Source organism: Homo sapiens, chromosome 4 (assembly GCF_000001405.40).
Source record: "Homo sapiens chromosome 4, GRCh38.p14 Primary Assembly".
Taxonomy (NCBI): domain Eukaryota; kingdom Metazoa; phylum Chordata; class Mammalia; order Primates; family Hominidae; genus Homo; species Homo sapiens.
The window spans coordinates 65,975,616-65,997,792 of NC_000004.12; the positions used below are offsets into that span (position 1 = coordinate 65,975,616).

Consider the following 22,177-nt stretch of genomic DNA (forward strand, 5'->3'; position numbering starts at 1 on the left):
TGGCATTTGGGCATACTTTCATACTACTTTTGATAGAAATCTCAAAAAGTATATTTTCTTGCTGTAAGGCAAAAAACCTCTCAGTCACAGCTTGGTCTCTCAAGGAAATAGTTCCTAAATTTTTTTTCGAAGAAGAAAATTAACTACTAATGGGATGTATTTAACTACAGATTAAAAAATTTTTCAGCTCAAAAAATGAACAAATTTCTTTCTGTTTTTATAATGTGGTTATATGAAGATGCATTACCAGAAAATACCTTGCATCCTATTGACAGATAAACCTGCCTAACCTGGATTAAAGTATTCTTATTTGTTATCTTCATATTCAATATTGTGAGGTTTACTTGTATTCAGAGATACCATTATCCTAAATACATGCAAGACCAATAAAATGGCTATGTTACTTGATCTCATTAAACTCAAAGGAACAGGTTGAATATAGTCTACTCAGTCAATTGGTTAAGCCTACTATTGGCCATACTAAAGTGCAGATTTTTTCAACATAGCCAAAATATCTTTATTAATTTGAAATAGATTTTTTTAACTATTAAGTTGTGGAGTACATGCACAGGATATGCAGTTTTGTTACATAGGTAAACGTGTCATGGGAGTTGGTTGTATTAATTATTTCCTCACCCAGGTATTTAGCCTAGTATCCACTAGTTTTTTCCTGACCCTCCTAAAGTCAGAAATACTATTCAATCCAGTAATCCCTTTACTGGGTATATACCTAAAGGAATCAAAGGAATATATATCATTCTGTTCTAAAGACACATGCACATGAATGTTCATTGCAGCACTATTCTCAATAGCAAAGACATAGATTCAACCTAAATGCACATCAATGATACACTGGACAAAGAAAATGTGGTATATCTACAAAATGGAATACTATGCAGCCATTAAAAGGAATGAGATCATGTCTTTTTCAGGGACATGGATGGAGCTGGAGGCCATTGTCCTTAGCAAACTAACTCAGGAACATAACACCAAATACCGCATGCTCTCACTTATAAATGGGAGTTAAATGATGAGAACACATGAACACATACGGGGGAACAACACACAGGGGCCTATCAGAGGGTGGAGAGTGGGAGGAGGGAGAGGATCAGGAAAAATAACTAATGGATAAAGTGTATATTTTAATGCTGTGATTGTCTTGACAGAGGATGTGCAGTTAAGGACACTGGTGAAATTAGGATAAACTTAGTGTGTGACTTGCCATTTTACTCCTCACTTCTAATATTTTTCAATGGTAATTTTATCAGATTTTGTGATGCTTAATATTGAGTGTCAACTTGATTGTGTCGAACGATGCAAAGTATTGTTCCTGGGTGTGTCTGTGAGGGTGTTGCAAACAGAGATTAACATTTGAGTCAGTGGACTTGGAAAGGCAGACCCACCCTTAATCTGGGTGGGCACAATCTAATCAGCTGCTAGCCTGGCTAGAATAAAAGCAGGCAGAAAAGCATGGAAAGACTAGACCAGTTTAGTCTTCTAGTCTATGTCTTTCTCCTGTGCTGGATGTTTCTTGCCCTCGAACATCAGACTCCAAGTTATTCAGCTTTGGCACTCGGACTGTCTTCCTTTCTCCTCTACTTGCAGATGGCCCATTGTGGGACCTCACCTTGTGATTGCATGAGTCAATACTCCTTTACAAACTCCCCTTTAGGCTGAGTGCAGTGGCTTGTGCTTGTAATCCCAGCACTTTGGGAGGCCAAGGCAAATGGATTACCTGAGGTCAGGAGTTCGAGACCAGCCTTACCAATATGATGCAATCCTATCTCCACTAAAATTACAAAAATTAGCTGGGCATGGTGGCACACACCTGTAGTCCCAGCTATTTGGGATGCTCAGGCAAGAGAATTGCTTGAACATGGGAGGCAGAGGTTGCAGTGAGCCAAGATTACGCCACTTCACTCCAGCTTGGGCTACAGAGCAAAACTCCATCTCAAAAAATAAAAAAATAATAATAAATAAACTCCCCTTTATGTATACATCTATCCTATTAGTTCTACCCCTATAGAGAACTCTGCCTAACACAGATTTCCAAATAGAAAAAAAAAGTATTGAAATGTTCTGTCACTTCAGTTGTGTAAATTTTTAAAAAATTATTTTATATCCACATAAAACATAATACTATCTGACACAGTATGTGGTTTTCACCCTGCCCATTCTTGTTATATATATACATATATACACATATGCAAGATATATATATACAATATATATATGCGAGATATATATATACAATATATATATGCGAGATATATATATGCAATATATATGCGAGATATATATATGCAATATATATATATGTGAGATATATATGTGTGTGTGTGTGTTTGACGGAGTTTTGCTCTCATTGCCTAGGCTAGAGTGCAATGGTGCAATCGTGGCTCACTGCAACCTCTGACTCCCAGGTTCAAGCAATTCTCCTGCCACAGCCTCCCGAGTAGCTGGGATTACAGGCATGTGCCACCACACACGGCTATTTGTTTGTGTTTAGTAGAGACAGGGTTTCACCATTTTGGTCAGGCTTGTCTTGAACTCCTGACCTCAGGTGATCCACCTGCCTCGGCCTCCCAAAGTGCTGGGATTACAGGCTTGAGACATCGCACCCAGCGGGGATGTTTTTTAAGAGGATAAAAGTTCAGATATTTTAACTGAATTTCGGGGTACAATCAGTGTTCCAAGAAGACACATCATTTTTATTCTTTGGCTTTGGACACTCACTGGCAAATCATTGTCTTCCTCCAGTTAAGATGCACAGCCTGAGGTTACATTGAACTTTTTATTTTTGGAAAAGCATGTATTAACAGAGTTCCCATGACAAAGGGATTTATTTTAGTTATACATTAGCAAATATTTAGGGACTAGAAACAACTTAGCAATTATGAATGATACTAATGCAAGTTTTGAAGTGGAAAATACACAGTTATAAAATAGAATTGCCAATTCCAGAATTATTTGTTGGTCAATAATTGCAATAAAAACAGAAATTTGTTTTGGTGTCTGTAGTTATTGAGCTATATTGGGAAGAGTGCCAACAGTGTCATAAATTGCTCTAAACATAACTCTAGAATTGCTGTTAAGTCATTGAGCCGATTGACCTGCCTTTTAATCGGTGAGTGAATTATCTTGTGGGTTTGGAATATCTATCATTACATACATAGGGAGGTTTCAGTAGAGAAGAAATATTATATAATAAAATTTAGTACAAAATGTCAGTCAGCTAAAGGTTACAAAGCCACATTCCTTAAAATATCATAACCCATGACCTTTTTGGTTGTTAGTTTACTGAGTTTTTTTTTCTTTTTAATTTCAGCTTTTATTTTAGATACAGGTGGTATATGTGTAGAGTCACTACATGAGTATATTGGACCCAGGTAGTGAGCACAGTACCTAACAGGTAGTTTTTCAACTCATGATCCCCCTTCCTTCTTCCCCCATCTAGTAAGTAAGTCCACAGTGTCTATTGTTTCTATGTCCATGTCCATGTGTGCTCAATGTTTAGGTCCCACTTATAAGTGAGTACATGTGGTATTTGGTTTTCTGTTCTTGAGTTAATTCACTTAGCCTAATGTCCTGCAGTTCCATCTCAGTTGCTGCAAAGGACATGATTTCATATCTTATGGCTGCATAATATTCCACGGTATATATGCATCACATGCACCACATTTTCTCTATCCAGTCTGCCACTGATGGGCAACTAGGTTGATTCCATGTCTTTCATATTGTGAATAGCATGGCAGTGAACATTCAAGCAAGTGTTCTTTTGATATAATGATCTATATTTCTTAGAGTATATAACCAGTAATGAGATTACTGGGTAGAATGGTAGCTGTGTTTTAAGGTCTTTGAGAAATCTCTAAACTGCTTTCCATAATGGCTGAACTAATTTATTAAAACATTCCTACCAGCATTGTGTAAGTGGTCCCTTTTCTCTGCAGCCTCAGCCGCTGTTTTTTGTCTTTTTAATAATAGCCATTCTACTGGTGTGAGATGATGTATCGTTGTAGTTTTGATATGCATTTATCTGATGATTAGCGATGACAAGCAATTTTTCATATGTTTGATGGCCACACGTACACCTGTTTTTGAGAAGTGTCTGTTCATTTATTTTGCCCACTTTTTAATGGGGTTGTTTTCTGTTTGTTGATTTGTTTAAGTTCCTTGTAGATTCTGGATATGACATCTTTGTCAGACACATAGTTTGTAAATACTTTTTCCCATTCTGTAGGCAGTTTACTCTTTTGCTGGTTTCTTTTGCTTTTGTTTAGTTTAATTAGGTTATATTTTTTAATTTTTGTTTTTGTTGAAATTGCTTTTTGTAACTTGGCCATAAATTATTTGCCAAGGTTGATGTTGAGAATGGTATTTCCTAGGTTTTCTTGTAGAACTTTTATAGTTTGAGGTCTTACATTTAAATTCTTAATCTATCTTGATTTAGTTTTTGTATATGGTGAAAGGTAGGGATCTAGTTTCATTTTTCTGCATAAGGCTAGCCAGTTATTCCAACACCATTTACTGTTTTTTCCCCTTGCTTGTTTTTGTTGGCCTTGTGGAAAACCAGATGGTTATAGGTGTGCAGTTGTATTTCTGCATTTTCTGTTCTGTTCCATTGATCTGTGTGTCTGTTTTTGTACTAGTACCATGTTGTTTTGGCTACTATACCCTTATAATACAGTTTTTTTTTTTTTTTTTTTTTTTTTTTGAGATGGAGTCTCGCTCTGTCGCCCAGGCTGGAGTGCAGTGGCGGGATCTCGGCTCACTGCAAGCTCCGCCTCCCGGGTTCACGCCATTCTCCTGCCTCAGCCTCCCAAGTAGCTGGGACTACAGGCGCCCGCCACTACGCCCGGCTAATTTTTTGTATTTTTAGTAGAGACGGGGTTTCACCGTTTTAGCCGGGATGGTCTCGATCTCCTGACCTCGTGATCCGCCCGCCTCGGCCTCCCAAAGTGCTATAATACAGTTTTGAATTTGGGTAGTGTGATGCCTCTGGCTTTGTTCTTTTTGCTTAAGATTGCTTTGGCTATTCAAGCTCTTTTTCGGTTCCATATGAATTTTAGAATAGCTTTTTTCTAAGTATCTGAAGAATGATATTGGTAGTTTGATAGGAATAGTGTTGAATCTGTAAATTGCATTGGGTAGTATGGCCATTTTAGTGATATTAATAATTTCAATACATGAACATGGATTTTTTTTGTTTATTTGTGTCATCTCTAATTTCTTTCAGCAGTGTTTTGTAGTTTTTCTTGTAGAGATCTTTCACCTCTTTGGTTAGCTGTATTGCTAGATATTTCCTTTTTGTGTGTGTGCCTATTGTAAACGGAATTGTGTTCTTGATTTTACTCTCAGCTTTGATGTTATTGGTGTATAGAAATGCTATGGATTTTTATACATTGATTTTGTATTTTTAAACTTCGCTAAAGTTGTTTGTCAGTTCTAGTAGCCTTTTGTCAAAGTCTTTAGGGTTTTCTAAGTATAGAATCATATCGTCAGTGAAGAGAGATAGTTTGACTTCTTCTTTTCCTATTTGGATGCCTTTTGCTTCTTTCCCTTGCCTGATTGCTCGGGCTGGGATTTACTGGATTACGTTGAACCGGAGTGGTGAGAGTGGGCATTCTTGCCTTGTTCCAGTTCTCAAGCCTAACCCATTGCTTTTCATACTTTCACGTGATTCTGATTTCCTTCAACAGCTATTAGACTTATAACTTTCAGGTTTTTAGAAGTGACTGCCAGATAGAAAGAGGAAAAATGAAAAGCAGTTAAAAAAAATTCCTGGATGAAAGCTGGGTTGATATTTTTTCCATACATTTGGAAATTAGTTTTTTTTTTTTTCTTGGAAATTACAGGCAAAAACATGGGCAAATTTATGGACAAAATCATTTGAAAGCTAATGTTACATATTTTTCCTCTCTAGTGGAAAAAGCTCTTGTTTTAAATTAATCTCATACCTAACTAGATGAATGCATGTTCAAATAAAGTAAAACTACACTTAATGCACATATTGAAAATATCCAATAACTCTTATCATACCTTCTTCCCATTAATTGACCTCTTATCAGATTCAATTTCTAGATTTAACTACCAACTTAGAGAAATTGAGAAGACCAAAGAAAATGTAAATAAAAAAGTCAGTGAGTAAAATTAGTAAAATCTGGACTATAGAAAATGCTACAGGGAAATCAAATAAAGGAAAATAATTGTAAGAAGAAAAAAAAGAGATGGAAATAAAAACTATAGGTTAAAAAACCTAGTAAATGGAAAAAAATTGTAATGCATGGGTCTTACTTTGTTTCTGATTTGTACAAATAAATGCTTAAAGAAAAACACGATCAAAGTCCCATGAAAACCAACTAGGCATTTTTAAATTTTATTTATTTATTTATTTATTTTTATTTTTCTCCAATATCAGAATCTTTATTATTATTATTATTATTATACTTTAAGTTTTAGGGTACACATATACACCATGGAATACTATGCAGCCATAAAAAATGATGAGTTCATGTCCTTTGTAGGGACATGGATGAAGCTGGAAACCATCATTCTCAGCAAACTATCGCAAGGACAAAAAACCAAACACTGCATATTGTCACTTATAGGTGGGAATTGAACAATGAGAACACATGGACACAGGAAGCGGCATTTTTAAATTTTAAAATACTGTTTTTAATGTTGTGTTTATGCTTTTAAGTAGTTATTATGTAGTGGTATATATACAAATATTTATGGATGCAATAATGTGCTGTCTGAAACTTACTTAGGCAAAAATCCGAGTATTCGGGGGGTACACTTAACAGACCATACAAAAGTGAAACTGATACATCAGAGTTCACTATACTAGTTTCTCTACTTTGTTATGTCTGCAACATTTTCCATAACAAAAATTAGAAAAAAAAAATGGAAAAAAAAACTGAGTTTTGGGGGTAGACACTGAATTCAGCCAATTTTCCAGGAATCAAAATTTTTGAGGGTCACAGGTAATTTATTTTTGATAAAAATATAGTGAGTGGAGAAATGACTAATTTTTGAGGCATACTGTAAAAAATTTAGGTAAAGTAACTTTTTCAGTATATATATATATATATATATATATATATAATATATATAATGCAATATTATAATAAAAATATTTGTAGGGCCAGGCGCGGTGGCTCATGCATGTAATTCAAGCACTTTGGGAGGCCGAGGCAGGCGGATCACAAGGTCACAAGTTTGAGATCAGCCTGGCCAACATGGTGAAACCTCGTCTCTACCAAAAATACAAAAATTAGGAGGGCGTAGTGCTGGGTGCCTGGAATCCCAGCTACTCGGGAGGCTGAGGCTGGAGAATTGCTTTACACCAAAAGGCAGAGGTTGCAGTGAGCGGAGATCGCGCCACTGCACTCCAGCCGGACTGTGCTGAAGAGCGAGACTCCGTCTCAAAAAAAAAAAAATTGTATCTTCTATAACAAAAATATATGAAAATCTTTTGGTAGAAGTGGTAGTTAAGGGTTGTGGGAAACTTCTGAAAGGTTCTGTAGAACATAATCTAGCATTTCTGCTTGTTTCTCACTCAGTAGGCGTGTTGCTCCCCAACGGATTAGAAGATTGCACTCTGTCTGACCCCAAACATACTTTCCTCAGTGAACAAACCAACACTTGGCCAATCTTTTACTTTCCAAAAGAAGTTGGCTGTCTTATTGTTTCCAGACATGTGTCTTGTGGGCAGTTTTTATTTACATAAGTCCCTTATGTTCAGTATTGAAAAAGCAATAGTTACAGAACTTTATCATAAAGAGTCTATTTTAAATACATTGTGGGCCAGCAAAAATTGCTATAATCATTGCTGTGATGTCTTAGTTTTATAACTAAATTAGAAAATCCCTTCTGACTCTAGCTGTAATATCTGCAGCATCAGAATCATAGGAATATTGTCTTTTTAAATTTAGTCTCAAGCTTTTGGTGATGCCAGATTTCACTCCCTAAGAAGTGATCAAAGTCCCAGGATCTGACTTATTTTATTACTGAATAAATCACCAAAGATGAGGCTAATTATGAAAGAGATTGCTACTATTTATGGCCAAATATATTTGTGATCTCAGCAGACAGGATATAAAGAAGTTTTAATCAGGGAGTACTAAAAATATGTGACAAATAAATAGACATTTTCTTAATGCATTTTCTCCTGGGGTTTCCTCCGAATGTTTTTAAAGTTGTGTAAAGGAAAATTCATATATTTCCTAAGGGATACAATTCCAAAATTTAGGACTAATCTTATTATTAGTAGTGTGATCATTGCATTTCATATTAAGATAGGTTTAAGTCATTTTGCTTTAATGTCAGCCCATCTATTTCTTTAGTACCATATAAGCATTATGTAATTACAGCGAATTATGCAATTATGTGATATGAGATGGCTTGGTGGTTTTACATCTAAAAATGGAATGATTTAATTTGAATTGATTGTTGTTTATGTACCATTTAACTACATGCATGAGCTGTTCACATCATAAAGAAGAAGTGCTTGTCACAGTGGCAATAAATGAAGGACATTTAGTTTGATATCCAAGGAATAGTATGCCAAATTTTAAATTCTGTCCTTTAGTCTAATATTTGTAAACTGTATCTTGACTCCATGCCTCAGTTTCTCTAATTAAATGAGGACAAAAGGTTAATGATACTGATATGCCATATAAAACATGAATGAGCATATATAGAAGAGATAAATTTTGCTGGTACAGATATAAATTCTAGAAATGCTATTTTTCTGCTACTTTGCTGCATTTGAATATACTCACACGGTTGTCTGAAAGGTCACTAATCACATTCTCATCACCAAATTCAATGATATTTTCATGTTGATTTTCTTAACATCCTCTCTGCCAGAATTTGCAATGTAGGGTTTCACTCTTGGAATTATTTTTCCTACAGATCTGCATTTATTTCTGTTTTTAACTTTCTGTTTGCCTCTTCATTTTATTTCAACTGAAGTGTCTTAAACATGTATGACAAAGCTCCACAGATTCACACATTCAGTGTATTGTATGAAATTCGAAATAATGTTCCTTAAGTCTCTACACAGAGTAAGAGACAGAGTGAAGAACAGATCTTGGTGGAAAATATTGCCTTCACTCTTTCCTTTCTTGCTTTCACTCTTTCCTTTGTTGCTTTCACTCTTTAGGTGTGTGCCTTCCCGAGGTTTATGTTTTTGACTCCACTCTTTGCTTTCTAGGACTTCCGTATAATCTTACAATATTGACTATTACATCCACAAAAATGAGTCCCTAAAGTTCTATCTTTAAACTTGACTTTTCATCAAACTTTTACTTCATTTTCAATCACGTATAAGACATTTCCAGCTGAACATTTTTCTAGTACCCTCAAGTGCAGCACATCCACAATAAAATTCATCATGTACTTCCAAACTCATACCTATTCTGATATTTCAAATGTACTACATATGAGTCAGTCATTCAGACTTGAAAACTTTAAATAGTCCAAATCATTACCTTTTCTTCATCTTCCATAGCAAATAAAATATAAAAACTTGAGTATTCTCTTTTTTGTCATTCATAATTATTTCTGACTTTCAATTCTTGGTGCCACAAATTTGGCTCAGGACTCTCACACTTTATGCATTCAGCTTATTGCAGTAGCTCTCAAGGTTATCTTCTTGTTCTGATACTACTTTTTGATCAACCCATTGTGAAGATAGTTTTTAGAAAATGACTTTGTGAGATGGGCAGATTGCAAAACTTCTCTTGGATTATGTAGGTCACCTGTTCATTCTGATGATAGTTTCTTTTGCTGTGCAAAATTATTTAGTTTAATTAGATCCCATTTGTCAATTTTGGCTTTTGTTGAAATTGCTTTTGGTGTTTCTGTCATAAAGTCTTTGCCTATGCCTATGTCCTGAATGGTATTGCCTAAGTTTTCTTATAGAGTTTTTATGGTTTTGGGTTTTACATATAAGTCTTTAATCTATTTTGAGATAGTTTTTTGTATAAGGTGTAAGCAAGGGGTCCAGTTTGAGTTTTCCGCATAAGGCTAGCCAGTTTTCCCAGCACCATTTACTGAATAGGAGATATTCTCCCCATTGTTCATTTTTGTCAGGCTTGTCGATGATCAGATGGTTATAGATGTGTGGTGTTATTTCTGAGCTCTCCGTTCTGCTCCTTTGGTCTATATGTCTGTTTTAGTACCAGTACCATGCTGTTTAGGTTACTATAGCCTTGTAGTATAGTTTGAAGTCAGGTAGCGTGATGCCTCCAGATTTGTTCTTTTTGCTTAGGATTGTCTTGGCTATATGGGGTCTTCTTTGATCCCATATGAAATTAAAAATAGTTTTTTCTAATTTTGTGGAGAATGTTAATGGTAATTTGATGGAAATAGCACTGAATCTATAAATTACTTTGGGCAGTATGGCCATTTTCATGACATTGATTCTCCCTATCCATGAGGATAGAATGTGTTTCCATATGCTTGTGTCCTTTCTTATTTCCTTGAGCAGTGGTTTGTAGCTCTCCTTGAAAAGGTCTTTCACATCCCTTTTAGCTGTATTCTTAGGTATTTTATTCTCTTTGTAGCAATTGTGAATGGGAGTTCATTCATGATTTGGCTCTCTACTTGTCTATTGTTGGCATAAGGAATGCTTGTGATTTTTGCACATTGATTTTGTTTCCTGAGACTCTGCTGAAGTTGCTTATCAGTTCAAGAAGTTTTGGGGCTGATATCATGGGGTTTTCTAAATATAAAATCATGTCATCTGCAGAGACGACTTCCTCTCTTCTTATTTGAATACGCTTTATTTCATTTTCTTCCCTGACTGCCCTCACCAGAACTTCCAATACTATGTTGAATACAGGTGGTGAGAGAGGGCATCCTTTTCTTGTACCGGTTTTCATTCAATATGATATTGGCTTTGTGTTTGTCTTACATAGCTCTTATTATTTTGAGATATGTTCCATCAATAACTAGTATATTGAGAGTTTTTAACATGAATATATGTTGAATTTTATATCAAAGGCTATTTCTGCATCTATTGAGATAATTGCGTGGTTTTTGTCTTTGGTTTGTTTATGTGATGGATTACATTTATTGATTTGCGTATGTTGAACATGGTGTAATATCCAGAATTTACAGTGAACTTATTCATATTACAAGAAAAAAAAATCAAAAAGCAGGCAAAGGATATGAACAGATACTTCCCAGAAGAAGACATTTACGTGGCCAAGAAGCATGAAAAAAAGATCAACATCACTGATCATCAGAGAAATGCAAATCAAAACCACAATGAGATACGATCTCACACCAGTGAAAATGGCGATTATTAAAAAGTCAGGAAACAATAGATGCTGGCGAGGCTGTGGAGAAATAGGATTGCTTTTACACTGTTGGTGGGAGTGTAAATTAGTTCAACCATTGTGGAAGACAGTGTGGTGATACCTCAAGGATCTAGAACCAGAAATACCATATAACCCAGCAATCCCATTACTGAGTATATACCCAAAGGAATATAAATTTTTCTACTATAAAGACACATGCACTTATATGTTTATTGCAGAACTATTTGCAACAGCAAATACATAGAACAAACCTAGATGCCCCTCAATGATAGACTGGATAAAGAAAATGTGGTACATAAACACCAGGGGATACTATGCAGCCATAAAAAGGAATGAGATCATGTCCTTTGCAGGGATGTGGATGAACCTGGAAACCATCATCCTCAGCAAACTAGCACAGGAACAGAAAACCAAACACCGCATGTTCTTACTTATAAATGGGAGTTGAACATTGAGAACACATGGCCACAGACATGGACACAACACACACCAGGGAATGTTGTGGGGTGGGTGGGGGGAGGAGAGGGAACTTAGAGGACAGGTCAATAGGTGCAGGAAACCACCATGGAACACATATACCTATGTAAAAAACCTGCACATTCTGCACATGTATCCCATTTTTTTTTTGAAGAAATCAAAAATAAAAGGAAAATGACTTTGTATTGCTTTCGTATGTTTAAAAGCTTCAGTAGACATTCCATTGCTTTAATAATAAACTTGTCTCCTACACTCTTAAAATTCTACCCTTGCTTATAGAAAACCTCTCCCTTTAAAATATCATAACCACTCCCAACATAAATCCATTAATCCTAACTAGATAAAAGAAAATGTTTAAGCAAAAAGAGCAAAGGTCTACATATTGTATAAACCATGGATCAAAGTGGTCATATGGTAACTAAGGGATAAATATGAAAATGTATATGAGAAATAATCTATACAAGGCTTTGAATGCAAGTACACATTTCATTAATAATATTTACAGACCAAGAATTTGGACCTGACAAATACTCAGAGCAAGAGAAACCCAACCTCTAAAGGTAATGCCCTTAAACAATAGCTAGAAATTCTAGTTGTGGTAGACACAGCTTGATTGAATAACACTTGTCAAAAATAAATCTAAAATTTTAGTCAAGTAGTTACAGAGAAGTGAGGATATCATGAAACAAGAACATGACCAGGGTAGATTAAAGAAAAAGAAATCACGAGTGAGTCAGGTTGATATGGCTGAATATAGACATGGAAGTGTGCCTGAAAATTAGGACCTAAGCTAGTCAATGAACTAGACAAAATGAAGAGATGAATAGAAACAATAATGTAAACTTACATAAGTTAAAAAATATAATATTTAGGCAGGTGTGCGGTGGCTCACGCCTGTAATCCAAGCACTTTGGAAGACCTGGGCGGATGGATCATGAGGTCAGGAGGTCAAGACCATCCTGGCTAACACGGTGAAACCCTGTCTCTACTAAAAATACAAAAATTAGCCAGGTGTGGTGGCGGGTGCCTGTAGTCCCAGCTACTCGGGAGGCTGAGGCAGGAGAATGGCATGAACCTGGGAGGCAGAGCTTGCAGTGACCTGAGATCATGCCACTGCACTCCAGCCTGGGTGACAGAACAAGACTCCATCTCAACAAAATAAAATAAAATAAAATAAAACAATAATGATAATATTTAAATGAGAGAGAACATATTTAAGTGTGCTTATACTACTGATATTGTGTCATACATTGCTTTTAGCATCAATAAAAGTTTGGTTTTAAATTCAATTTATCCTATTTACTATTCATAGAAGCTTTGTGCCCTGCATGTAAAGTGCTTATCAGAGTACTTGGCACATGCTAAGCAGTCAGTAAGTTGGAGTTATAAACATTATTTTTTCCTATATTTCCTCATAGGAAAATTTTAATTTTAATGTACAATTTTATCTTCCAGCTATATCATTTTGCCCCACAGAAACAGTCATAAAACTATGGGTCAAACATTTTAAATTAAAATTAAGTGAAAGTAATGTTATCTATAATTTTGTTTCTATTTTAAATAAATGATGACATAATATGATTGTCCTTCAACTATGAAAACTTCTTGCATTATGAAAGATAAGTTCCTTCGTTCTACCTCACCCGAAATGATAAATTCTTCAATGTCTGTAAGTGTGTGTGAACTGATTGATTGTGTGAAAAAAGTCACAGGACTTGTCTCTTGGGCCTTATCAAATTCAGTTGTGGTGACTGCCAGTTAGAAGACCATGGATGTGGTCAGCTCATTATAGTTTAATTAGAAATTACTTTATTCTTAACAAAGTTTTTAAATAAATAAAGTATTTTTTCTTTTAAGCTTTATAATGTATTACAAATAGAACATAGGCAAGCAAAGTATAAATGGAAATGAGCCCAGTGTTTAAAGATGTATACTTAAAATAGCTTGATGCTATGTTCTAAAATTTAAAACTGAGCCGTAACTTAAGTTTATGCAGAATCTTCCCTTATTTTCCTTTTTACATAATCATCTATTTTTATCTGATAAGAGAAGATCTGATTTGGAAACAGTATATTTAAAAGATATACTTTTTTATTTTTTTCATATGTTGTAGGTCAATTAAATGACATGTTTACTAATGAAGCTATCACAAGTCTTCTTTCTTGTTTTTCAATATTCCTGAATAAATGAATATCCAAGATATGAAAGAAAAAGTATTTCAATTGTCACAAAGAGTAAAATAACACAAGACTTATTGCCCTTCTTTCCCAATAAAAAGAATTTCCAAACTGACCACCCATAAGCTGATTCTGTTTCACATCCATTATTTTTCATTCATTTCTTCAGTGATTGATTCATTCTTTCATTCATTTAATTTTATCTAAATGTTTTAAACATATCATTACAATGTTTGGTTATTTCTGGCTTATCTTGAAATTTTGTTCAATATGCACATAATTTAAAAATAGCAATGAAATATGTAACTATCAGACAAATAGATACAAAAGAATAAAAATCTAAACCTCTAATTACTCCAACCTCACAAAAAATTTAAGGAGAAAAGAAAATATAATTGAAGAACACAAGTTAAATAGAAAAAGAGAAAGTATAATATGTATTAAAATATTCACTGTGAAACTGTAGAGTTAGTAATTCTGCCAAATTTTACTTTACATACTTTATATAATTTTATTTTATATACTTACATAATACAAATATGGAGAGATAGGTAAATAGATGACAAATACAATCCAGAGAGATATAAATATAATTTATATCATAACAATAAATATATTTTATACTGGCAATCATAATTAAAATAAAAGTGAACTAATATTACTAATTTAAATATCTTGATTTGCAGATGAGATAAATTAAAAATAATGAATATAAGCTCTTTACGACACAACTAAAATATAAGTTATAAGAAACAAATATAAGAAACTTTGAAGGTAAAAGATGGGCAAAATTAATCCAGTAAAATAGAAAAATTCTACCCAAAGAATGCTTATTTATATGGATTTATACCATAACATTCTATCTATCTGGAGTATATTTATCATCTACTTACCATTCTATCCACATTTGTATTATTTGTAATTTTATAAAAATATCCTCTGTATAATAATGAGAGAATACAACAAGAAGATTAAGAATTCTAAACTTGTCTACTATTTACAAAGTAACCCCAAAGTATATAAAGTAAAATTTGGCAGAATCACTACTCTACAGTTTCATGGGGATATTTTAACACACATCTCTTAGTAATTGATAACATCATGAAATGATTATGTAATGATTTAAGCACCATAATAAATTAGCTTTGTTAAAAATCATACAGAGAATTCTATATCTTACAATTAAAAAATTCATTTTCACAAATGGACTTGAAAAATTTAAAAAGTTGACATTTGCCAAGCCAAACTGAGCAAGTTTGAACAAATTTGATATCCAGTATTACGTAGAATATTTTCTTTAAGAAGTTAGGAATAAATAAGCATAAAAACTGAAACACAAGAATATTTAAGAACACCCTTATCAATAACATACCAATTATAAATAAAATTCTCCACCTGGAACACGCAATTTATAAAGATAGGACTAAGATATTCTGCTTAACCAGAAGGTAAGTTATGATAAACTACTGGAATTTTTTAAAAAGCCACAGGATAAAAATTATTACTGGCTAAAGATGAGGGAAATTAAACGTAAAGGTAATAACTAAGATGTATTGAAGTATATTAGCAACACTAAAATCATGTGTTTAGGATGATACTAAAAATCCATTTGGTGACTTTTAGAGGGCACTAACAACAAACTGATACAAAGACTATATCAAGCATATTTACTGTAAGTTTATGATGAAATTTATTTTTTAAATAAATAGCTGAAGAAGAGTACTTTGTAAAACAATTTCAAGTAATAAATACGGAGGAAATAACATAATTAGCAAATTAATCTTTATGCAGTGTATCATTAAAAATGGATTCAACTACAAAATCTTCTGTTGATTCAAAACCAATAGGAAACAGCTTCAGGGAGAACTTCATAACTAATGAGTCAAGCAGATAAAACCTAAACTTACTAATAGAAGTTAATATCTCTATATTTGGAACACATAAACATTATTGCCTTCTGTTGAAGCTACTAAGACATATACAGAATGGCCTATGGAGCATTTTTTGCCTAAAATATAAACTTATCTAAAAGTTAACCCAGTCTCCAGATGCAACAAATAGCTTAGAAAAAAACATGAGCAAAGAATAAGTTGACTGATAACATGAGGAAGCAGTCAAATATGGAACAGAAATTTTAGAGGTAAAGACACTGTTTTCCTCCACAGATAAATAGTGTAAAACTGTGAGGGGACAGTATAGATTGCATAAGCCTTGATTATACCAACCAAATGAAATATGTGAACCATACTGAGATTCTACTTTGGACAAATTAAAAACTTTTGAAAGAATTTAGAAAATTTATACCTGGATTCAGTATTAGACATTAATAAATTACTATTATTTCATTAGATATGAATATAACATCACATGTTTATAAAAACATAACCCATATATTATATAATTATTTATTTAAAAATTATATAGAATTTTTTTAATCAACAAACAGAAAAAAAAAAAAAATGGAGAGAAGATAGAGTAGACCACATTATTTTCAAAGCTAGAGATAGCTACCTGAGAGGGTTCTTGATGTTATACTTTAATATGTAAATAATCTTTTGAAAGAGAGATCAACAATATGTAAAAAAAGACTCAATTTTACTTATAGCATTTACCATTTGAATAATCAACTATATAAACCTAATCAGTTGAGCTGTTGGCTTGAAATTAGGAGTAATATTCATTTTCAAATTTTCTATTTCTTGCCTTTTGGCATATGACTTGGTTTTAAACTGACATGGTAATTATTTTTAGAGATTTGTAAAAGTCTATGTTGTGGATTCCAAGGAGATATGGAAATATGCTTAATAAAGACAATTAACCCTAAAATGTTTCAGGAGGCAATCAAAGCATATCAAGGGAGTATGAAATACACCCATGATGTCCTGGTGATAAAACTTCTGTTAAATTGTTATTGAGCACTGTGATAATGAAAGCAGGAGAAATGTTTTTATAAGGTTGGACAGAAATACAGATGGCATCTCACCAGGTCATTTTGTACTTCTCACTAGTCTATCTAGTCAACCAGTACTTCATGTAGAGCTAACACAAGTAATTAATCATTTTTTATATTTGAATTTATTACCACTTAGAGACAGTGGAGCTAATGATGCAATAATAACAAAACTGATTGCTTTTACTTATAAAATTTTTCAAAACATAAATTTAAAGTCACTTAATACCATTTTTGCTACAAAAATATTTCATGAAGTTGTAACAGCCTGGTAACATGACCAGCCTAGAAGATACCGTAGGTTACCTGAAAGCCTAAAATCTTTTTATCTGAATTTGAATCATGCAGATTAGCTTTTTTCCCCCAAAATGATCAGCTTCGTGCCTATAAACTTATACAATATATGACCATGAAATATTTTAGGACAAATTAGCAAAGTTCCCAAGTAAACAATGATGACTCTTGATATCTTTCCTTTTAAAAGTCTTATAATAATTTCATTTACTTACATGGATGCAAACATACATAGTACCTTAAAAATAATAGTGCTATACTGATCATTTATCATTTTATTCTACTAATCAATATATTATCAATATTGTTCTATATTACTATGTAGCCTATTCTACATAATTTTGATGGCTATTGCATATTTTCCTAGTAAATAGCATTTTCTATATTTGCAATTAAAAATAAATACTGTTATGTCCAACCCATACTTTGTGTAACTCAGCGGTAATATCTTTTTTTTTTTTTTATTATACTTTAAGTTTTAGGGTACATGTGCACATTGTGCAGGTTAGTTACATATGTATACATGTGCCATGCTGGTGCACTGCACCCACTAACTCGTCATCTAGCATTAGGTATATCTCCCAATGCTATCCCTCCCACCTCCCCCCACTCCACAACAGTCCCCAGAGTGTGATATTCCCCTTCCTGTGTCCATGTGAATTCATTGTTCAATTCCCACCTATGAGTGAGAATATGCGGTGTTCGGTTTTTTGTTCTTGTGATAGTTTACTGACAATGATGTTTTCCAATTTCATCCATGTCCCTACAAAGGACATGAACTCATCATTTTTTATGGCTGCATAGTATTCCATGGTCTATATGTGCCACATTTTCTTAATCCAGTCCATCATTGTTGGACATTTGGGTTGGTTCCAAGTCTTTGCTATTGTGAATAATGCCGCAATAAACATACATGTTCATGTGTCTTTATAGCAGCATGATTTATAGTCCTTTGGGTATATCCCCAGTAATGGGATGGCTGGGTCAAATGGTATTTCAAGTTCTAGATCCCTGAGGAATCGCCACACTGACTTCCACAATGGTTGAACTAGTTTACAGTCCCACCAACAGTGTAAAAGTGTTCCTATTTCTCCACATCCTCTCCAGCACCTGTTGTTTCCTGACTTTTTAATGATTGCCATTCTAACTGGTGTGAGATGGTATCTCATTGTGGTTTTGATTTGCATTTCTCTGATGGCCAGTGATGATGAGCATTTTTTCATGTGTTTTTTGGCTGCATAAATGTCTTCTTTTGAGAACTGTCTGTTCATGTCCTTTGCCCACTTTTTGATGGGGTTGTTTTTTTCTTGTAAATTTGTTTGAGTTCATTGTAGATTCTGGATATTAGCCCTTTGTCAGATGAGTAGGTTGCAAAAATTTTCTCCCATTTTGTAGGTTGCCTGTTCACTCTGATGGTAGTTTCTTTTGCTGTGCAGAAGCTCTTTAGTTTAATTAGATCCCATTTGTCAATTTTGTCTTTTGTTGCCATTGCTTTTGGTGTTTTAGACATGAAGTCCTTGCCCATGCCTATGTCCTGAATGGTAATGCCTAGGTTTTCTTCTAGGGTTTCTATGGTTTTAGGTCTAATGTTTAAGTCTTTAATCCATCTTGAATTGATTTTTGTATAAGGTGTAAGGAAGGGATCCAGTTTCAGCTTTCTACATATGGCTAGCCAGTTTGCCCAGCACCATTTACTAAATAGGGAATCCTTTCCCCATTGCTTGTTTTTCTCAGGTTTGTCAAAGATCAGATAGTTGTAGATATGCGGCGTTATTTCTGAGGGCTCTGTTCTGTTCCATTGATCTATATATCTCTGTTTTGGTACCAGTACCATGCTGTTTTGGTTACTGTAGCATTGTAGTATAGTTTGAAGTCAGGTAGTGTGATGCCTCCAGCTTTGTTCTTTTGGCTTAGGATTGACTTGGTGATGCGGGCTCTTTTTTGGTTCCATATGAACTTTAAAGTAGTTTTTTCCAATTCTGTGAAGAAAGGCATTGGTAGCTTGATGGGGATGGCATTGAATCTGTAAATTACCTTGGGCAGTATGGCCATTTTCATGATACTGATTCTTCCTACCCATGAGCATAGAATGTTCTTCCATTTGTTTGTATCCTCTTTTATTTCCTTGAGCAGTGGTTTGTAGTTCTCCTTGAAGAGGTCCTTCACATCCCTTGTCAGTTGGATTCCTAGGTATTTTATTCTCTTTGAAGCAATTGTGAATGGGAGTTCACTCATGATTTGGCTCTCTGTTTGTCTGTTTTTGGTGTATAAGAATGCTTGTGATTTTTGTACATTGATTTTGTATCCTGAGACTTTGCTGAAGTTGCTTATCAGCTTTAGGAGATTTTGGGCTGAGACAATTGGGTTTTCTAGATATACAATCATGTCATCTGCAAACAGGGACAATTTGACTTCCTCTTTTCCTAATTGAATACCCTTTATTTCCTTCTCCTGCCTAATTGCCCTGGCCAGAACTTCCAACACTATGTTGAATAGGAGTGGTGAGAGAGGGCATCCCTGTCTTGTGCCAGTTTTCAAAGGGAATGCTTCCAGTTTTTTCCCATTCAGTATGATATTGGCTGTGGGTTTGTTATAGATAGCTCTTATTATTTTGAAATACGTCCCATCAATACCTAATTTATTGAGAGTTTTTAGCATGAAGGGTTGTTGAATTTTGTCAAAGGCTTTTTCTGCCTCTATTGAGATAATCATGTGGTTTTTGTCTTTGGCTCTGTTTATATGCTGGATTACATTTATTGATTTGCGTATATTGAACCAGCCTTGCATCCCAGGGATGAAACCCACTTGATCATGGTGGATAAGCTTTTTGATGTGCTGCTGGATTCGTTTTGCCAGTATTTTATTGAGGATTTTTGCATCAATGTTCATCAAGGATATTGGTCTAAAATTCTCTTTTTTGGTTGTGTCTCTGCCAGGCTTTGGTATCAGAATGATGCTGGCCTCATAAAATGAGTTAGGGAGGATTCCCTCTTTTTCTATTGATTGGAATAGTTTCAGAAGGAATGGTACCAGTTCCTCCTTGTACCTCTGGTAGAATTTGGCTGTGATTCCATCTGGTCCTGGACTCTTTTTGGTTGGTAAGCTATTGATTATTGCCACAATTTCAGATCCTGTTATTGGTCTATTCAGAGACTGAAATTCTTCCTGGTTTAGTCTTGGGAGAGTGTATGTGTCGAGGAATTTATCCATTTCTTCTAGATTTTCTAGTTTATTTGCGTAGAGGTGTTTGTAGTATTCTCTGATGGTAGTTTGTATTTCTGTGGGATTGGTGGTGATATCCCCTTTATCATTTTTTATTGCGTCTATTAGATTCATCTTTTTTTCTTTATTAGTCTTGCTAGTGGTCTATCAATTTTGTTGATCCTTTCAAAAAACCAGCTCCTGGATTCATTAATTTTCTGAAGGGTTTTTTGTGTCTCTATTTCCTTCAGTTCTGCTCTGATTTTAGTTATTTCTTGCCTTCTGCTAGCTTTTGAATGTGTTTGCTCTTGCTTTTCTAGTTCTTTTAATTGTGATTTTAGGGTGTCAATTTTGGATCTTTCCTGCTTTCTCTTGTGGGCATTTAGTGCTATAAATTTCCCTCTACACACTACTTTGAATGTGTCCCAGGTATTCTGGTATGTTGTGTCTTTGTTCTCGTTCGTTTCAAAGAACATCTTTATTGCTGCCTTCATTTCATTATGTACCCAGTAGTCATTCAGGAGCAGGTTGTTCAGTTTCCATGTAGTTGAGTGGTTTTGAGTGAGATTCTTAATCCTGAGTTCTAGTTTGATTGCACTGTGGTCTGAGAGAGAGTTTGTTATAATTTCTGTTCTTTTACATTTGCTGAGAAGAGCTTTACTTCCAACTATGTGGTCAATTTTGGAATAGGTGTGGTGTGGTGCTGAAAAAAATGTATATTCTGTTGATTTGGGGTGGAGAGTTCTGTAGATGTCTATTAGGTCTGCTTGGTGCAAGCTGAGTTCAATTCCTGGGTATCCTTGTTGACTCTCTGTCTCGTTGATCTGTCTAATGTTGACAGTGGGGTGTTAAAGTCTCCCATTATTAATGTGTGGGAGTCTAAGTCTCTTTGTAGGTCACTCAGGACTTGTTTTATGAGTCCTGGTGCTCCTGTATTGGGTGCATATATATTTAGGATAGTTAGCTCTTCTTGTTGAATTGATCCCTTTACCATTATGCAATGGCCTTCTTTGTCTCTTTTCATCTTTGTTGGTTTAAAGTCTGTTTTATCAGAGACTAGTGTTGCAACCCCTGCCTTTTTTTGTTTTCCATTTGCTTGGTAGATCTTCCTCCATCCTTTTATTTTGAGCCTATGTGTGTCTCTGCACGTGAGATGGTTTTCCTGAATACAGCACACTGATGGGTCTTGACTCTTTATCCAATTTGCCAGTCTGTGTCTTTTAATTGGAGCATTTAGTCCATTTACATTTAAAGTTAATATTGTTATGTGTGAATTTGATCCTGTCATTATGATGTTAGCTGGCTATTTTGCTCGTTAGTTGATGCAGTTTCTTCCTAGTCTTGATGGTCTTTACATTTTGGCATGATTTTGCAGCGGCTGGTACCGGTTGTTGCTTTCCATGTTTAGCGCTTCCTTCAGGAGCTCTTTTAGGGCAGGCCTGGTGGTGACAAAATCTCTCAGCATTTGCTTGTCTGTAAAGTATTTTATTTCTCCTTCACTTACGAAGCTTAGTTTGGCTGGATATGAAATTCTGGGTTGAAAATTCTTGTCTTTAAGAATGTTGAATATTGGCCCCCACTCTCTTCTGGCTTGTAGGGTTTCTGCCGAGAGATCCGCTGTTAGTCTGATAGGCTTCCCTTTGAGGGTAACCCGACCTTTCTCTCTGGCTGCCCTTAACATTTTTTCCTTCATTTCAACTTTGGTGAATCTGACAATTATGTGTCTTGGAGTTGCTCTTCTT

At 34.6% G+C, this 22,177-nt stretch overlaps 1 annotated feature.

The window, feature by feature from the left end:
* Nucleotides 7,523-7,723: a silencer, noted in NCBI's record as "peak5039 fragment used in MPRA reporter construct". NCBI's record gives its function as "represses an SCP1 promoter by STARR-seq MPRAs in K562 erythroleukemia cells {active_cell/tissue: K562}" and the evidence as "EXISTENCE:reporter gene assay evidence [ECO:0000049][PMID:32103011]".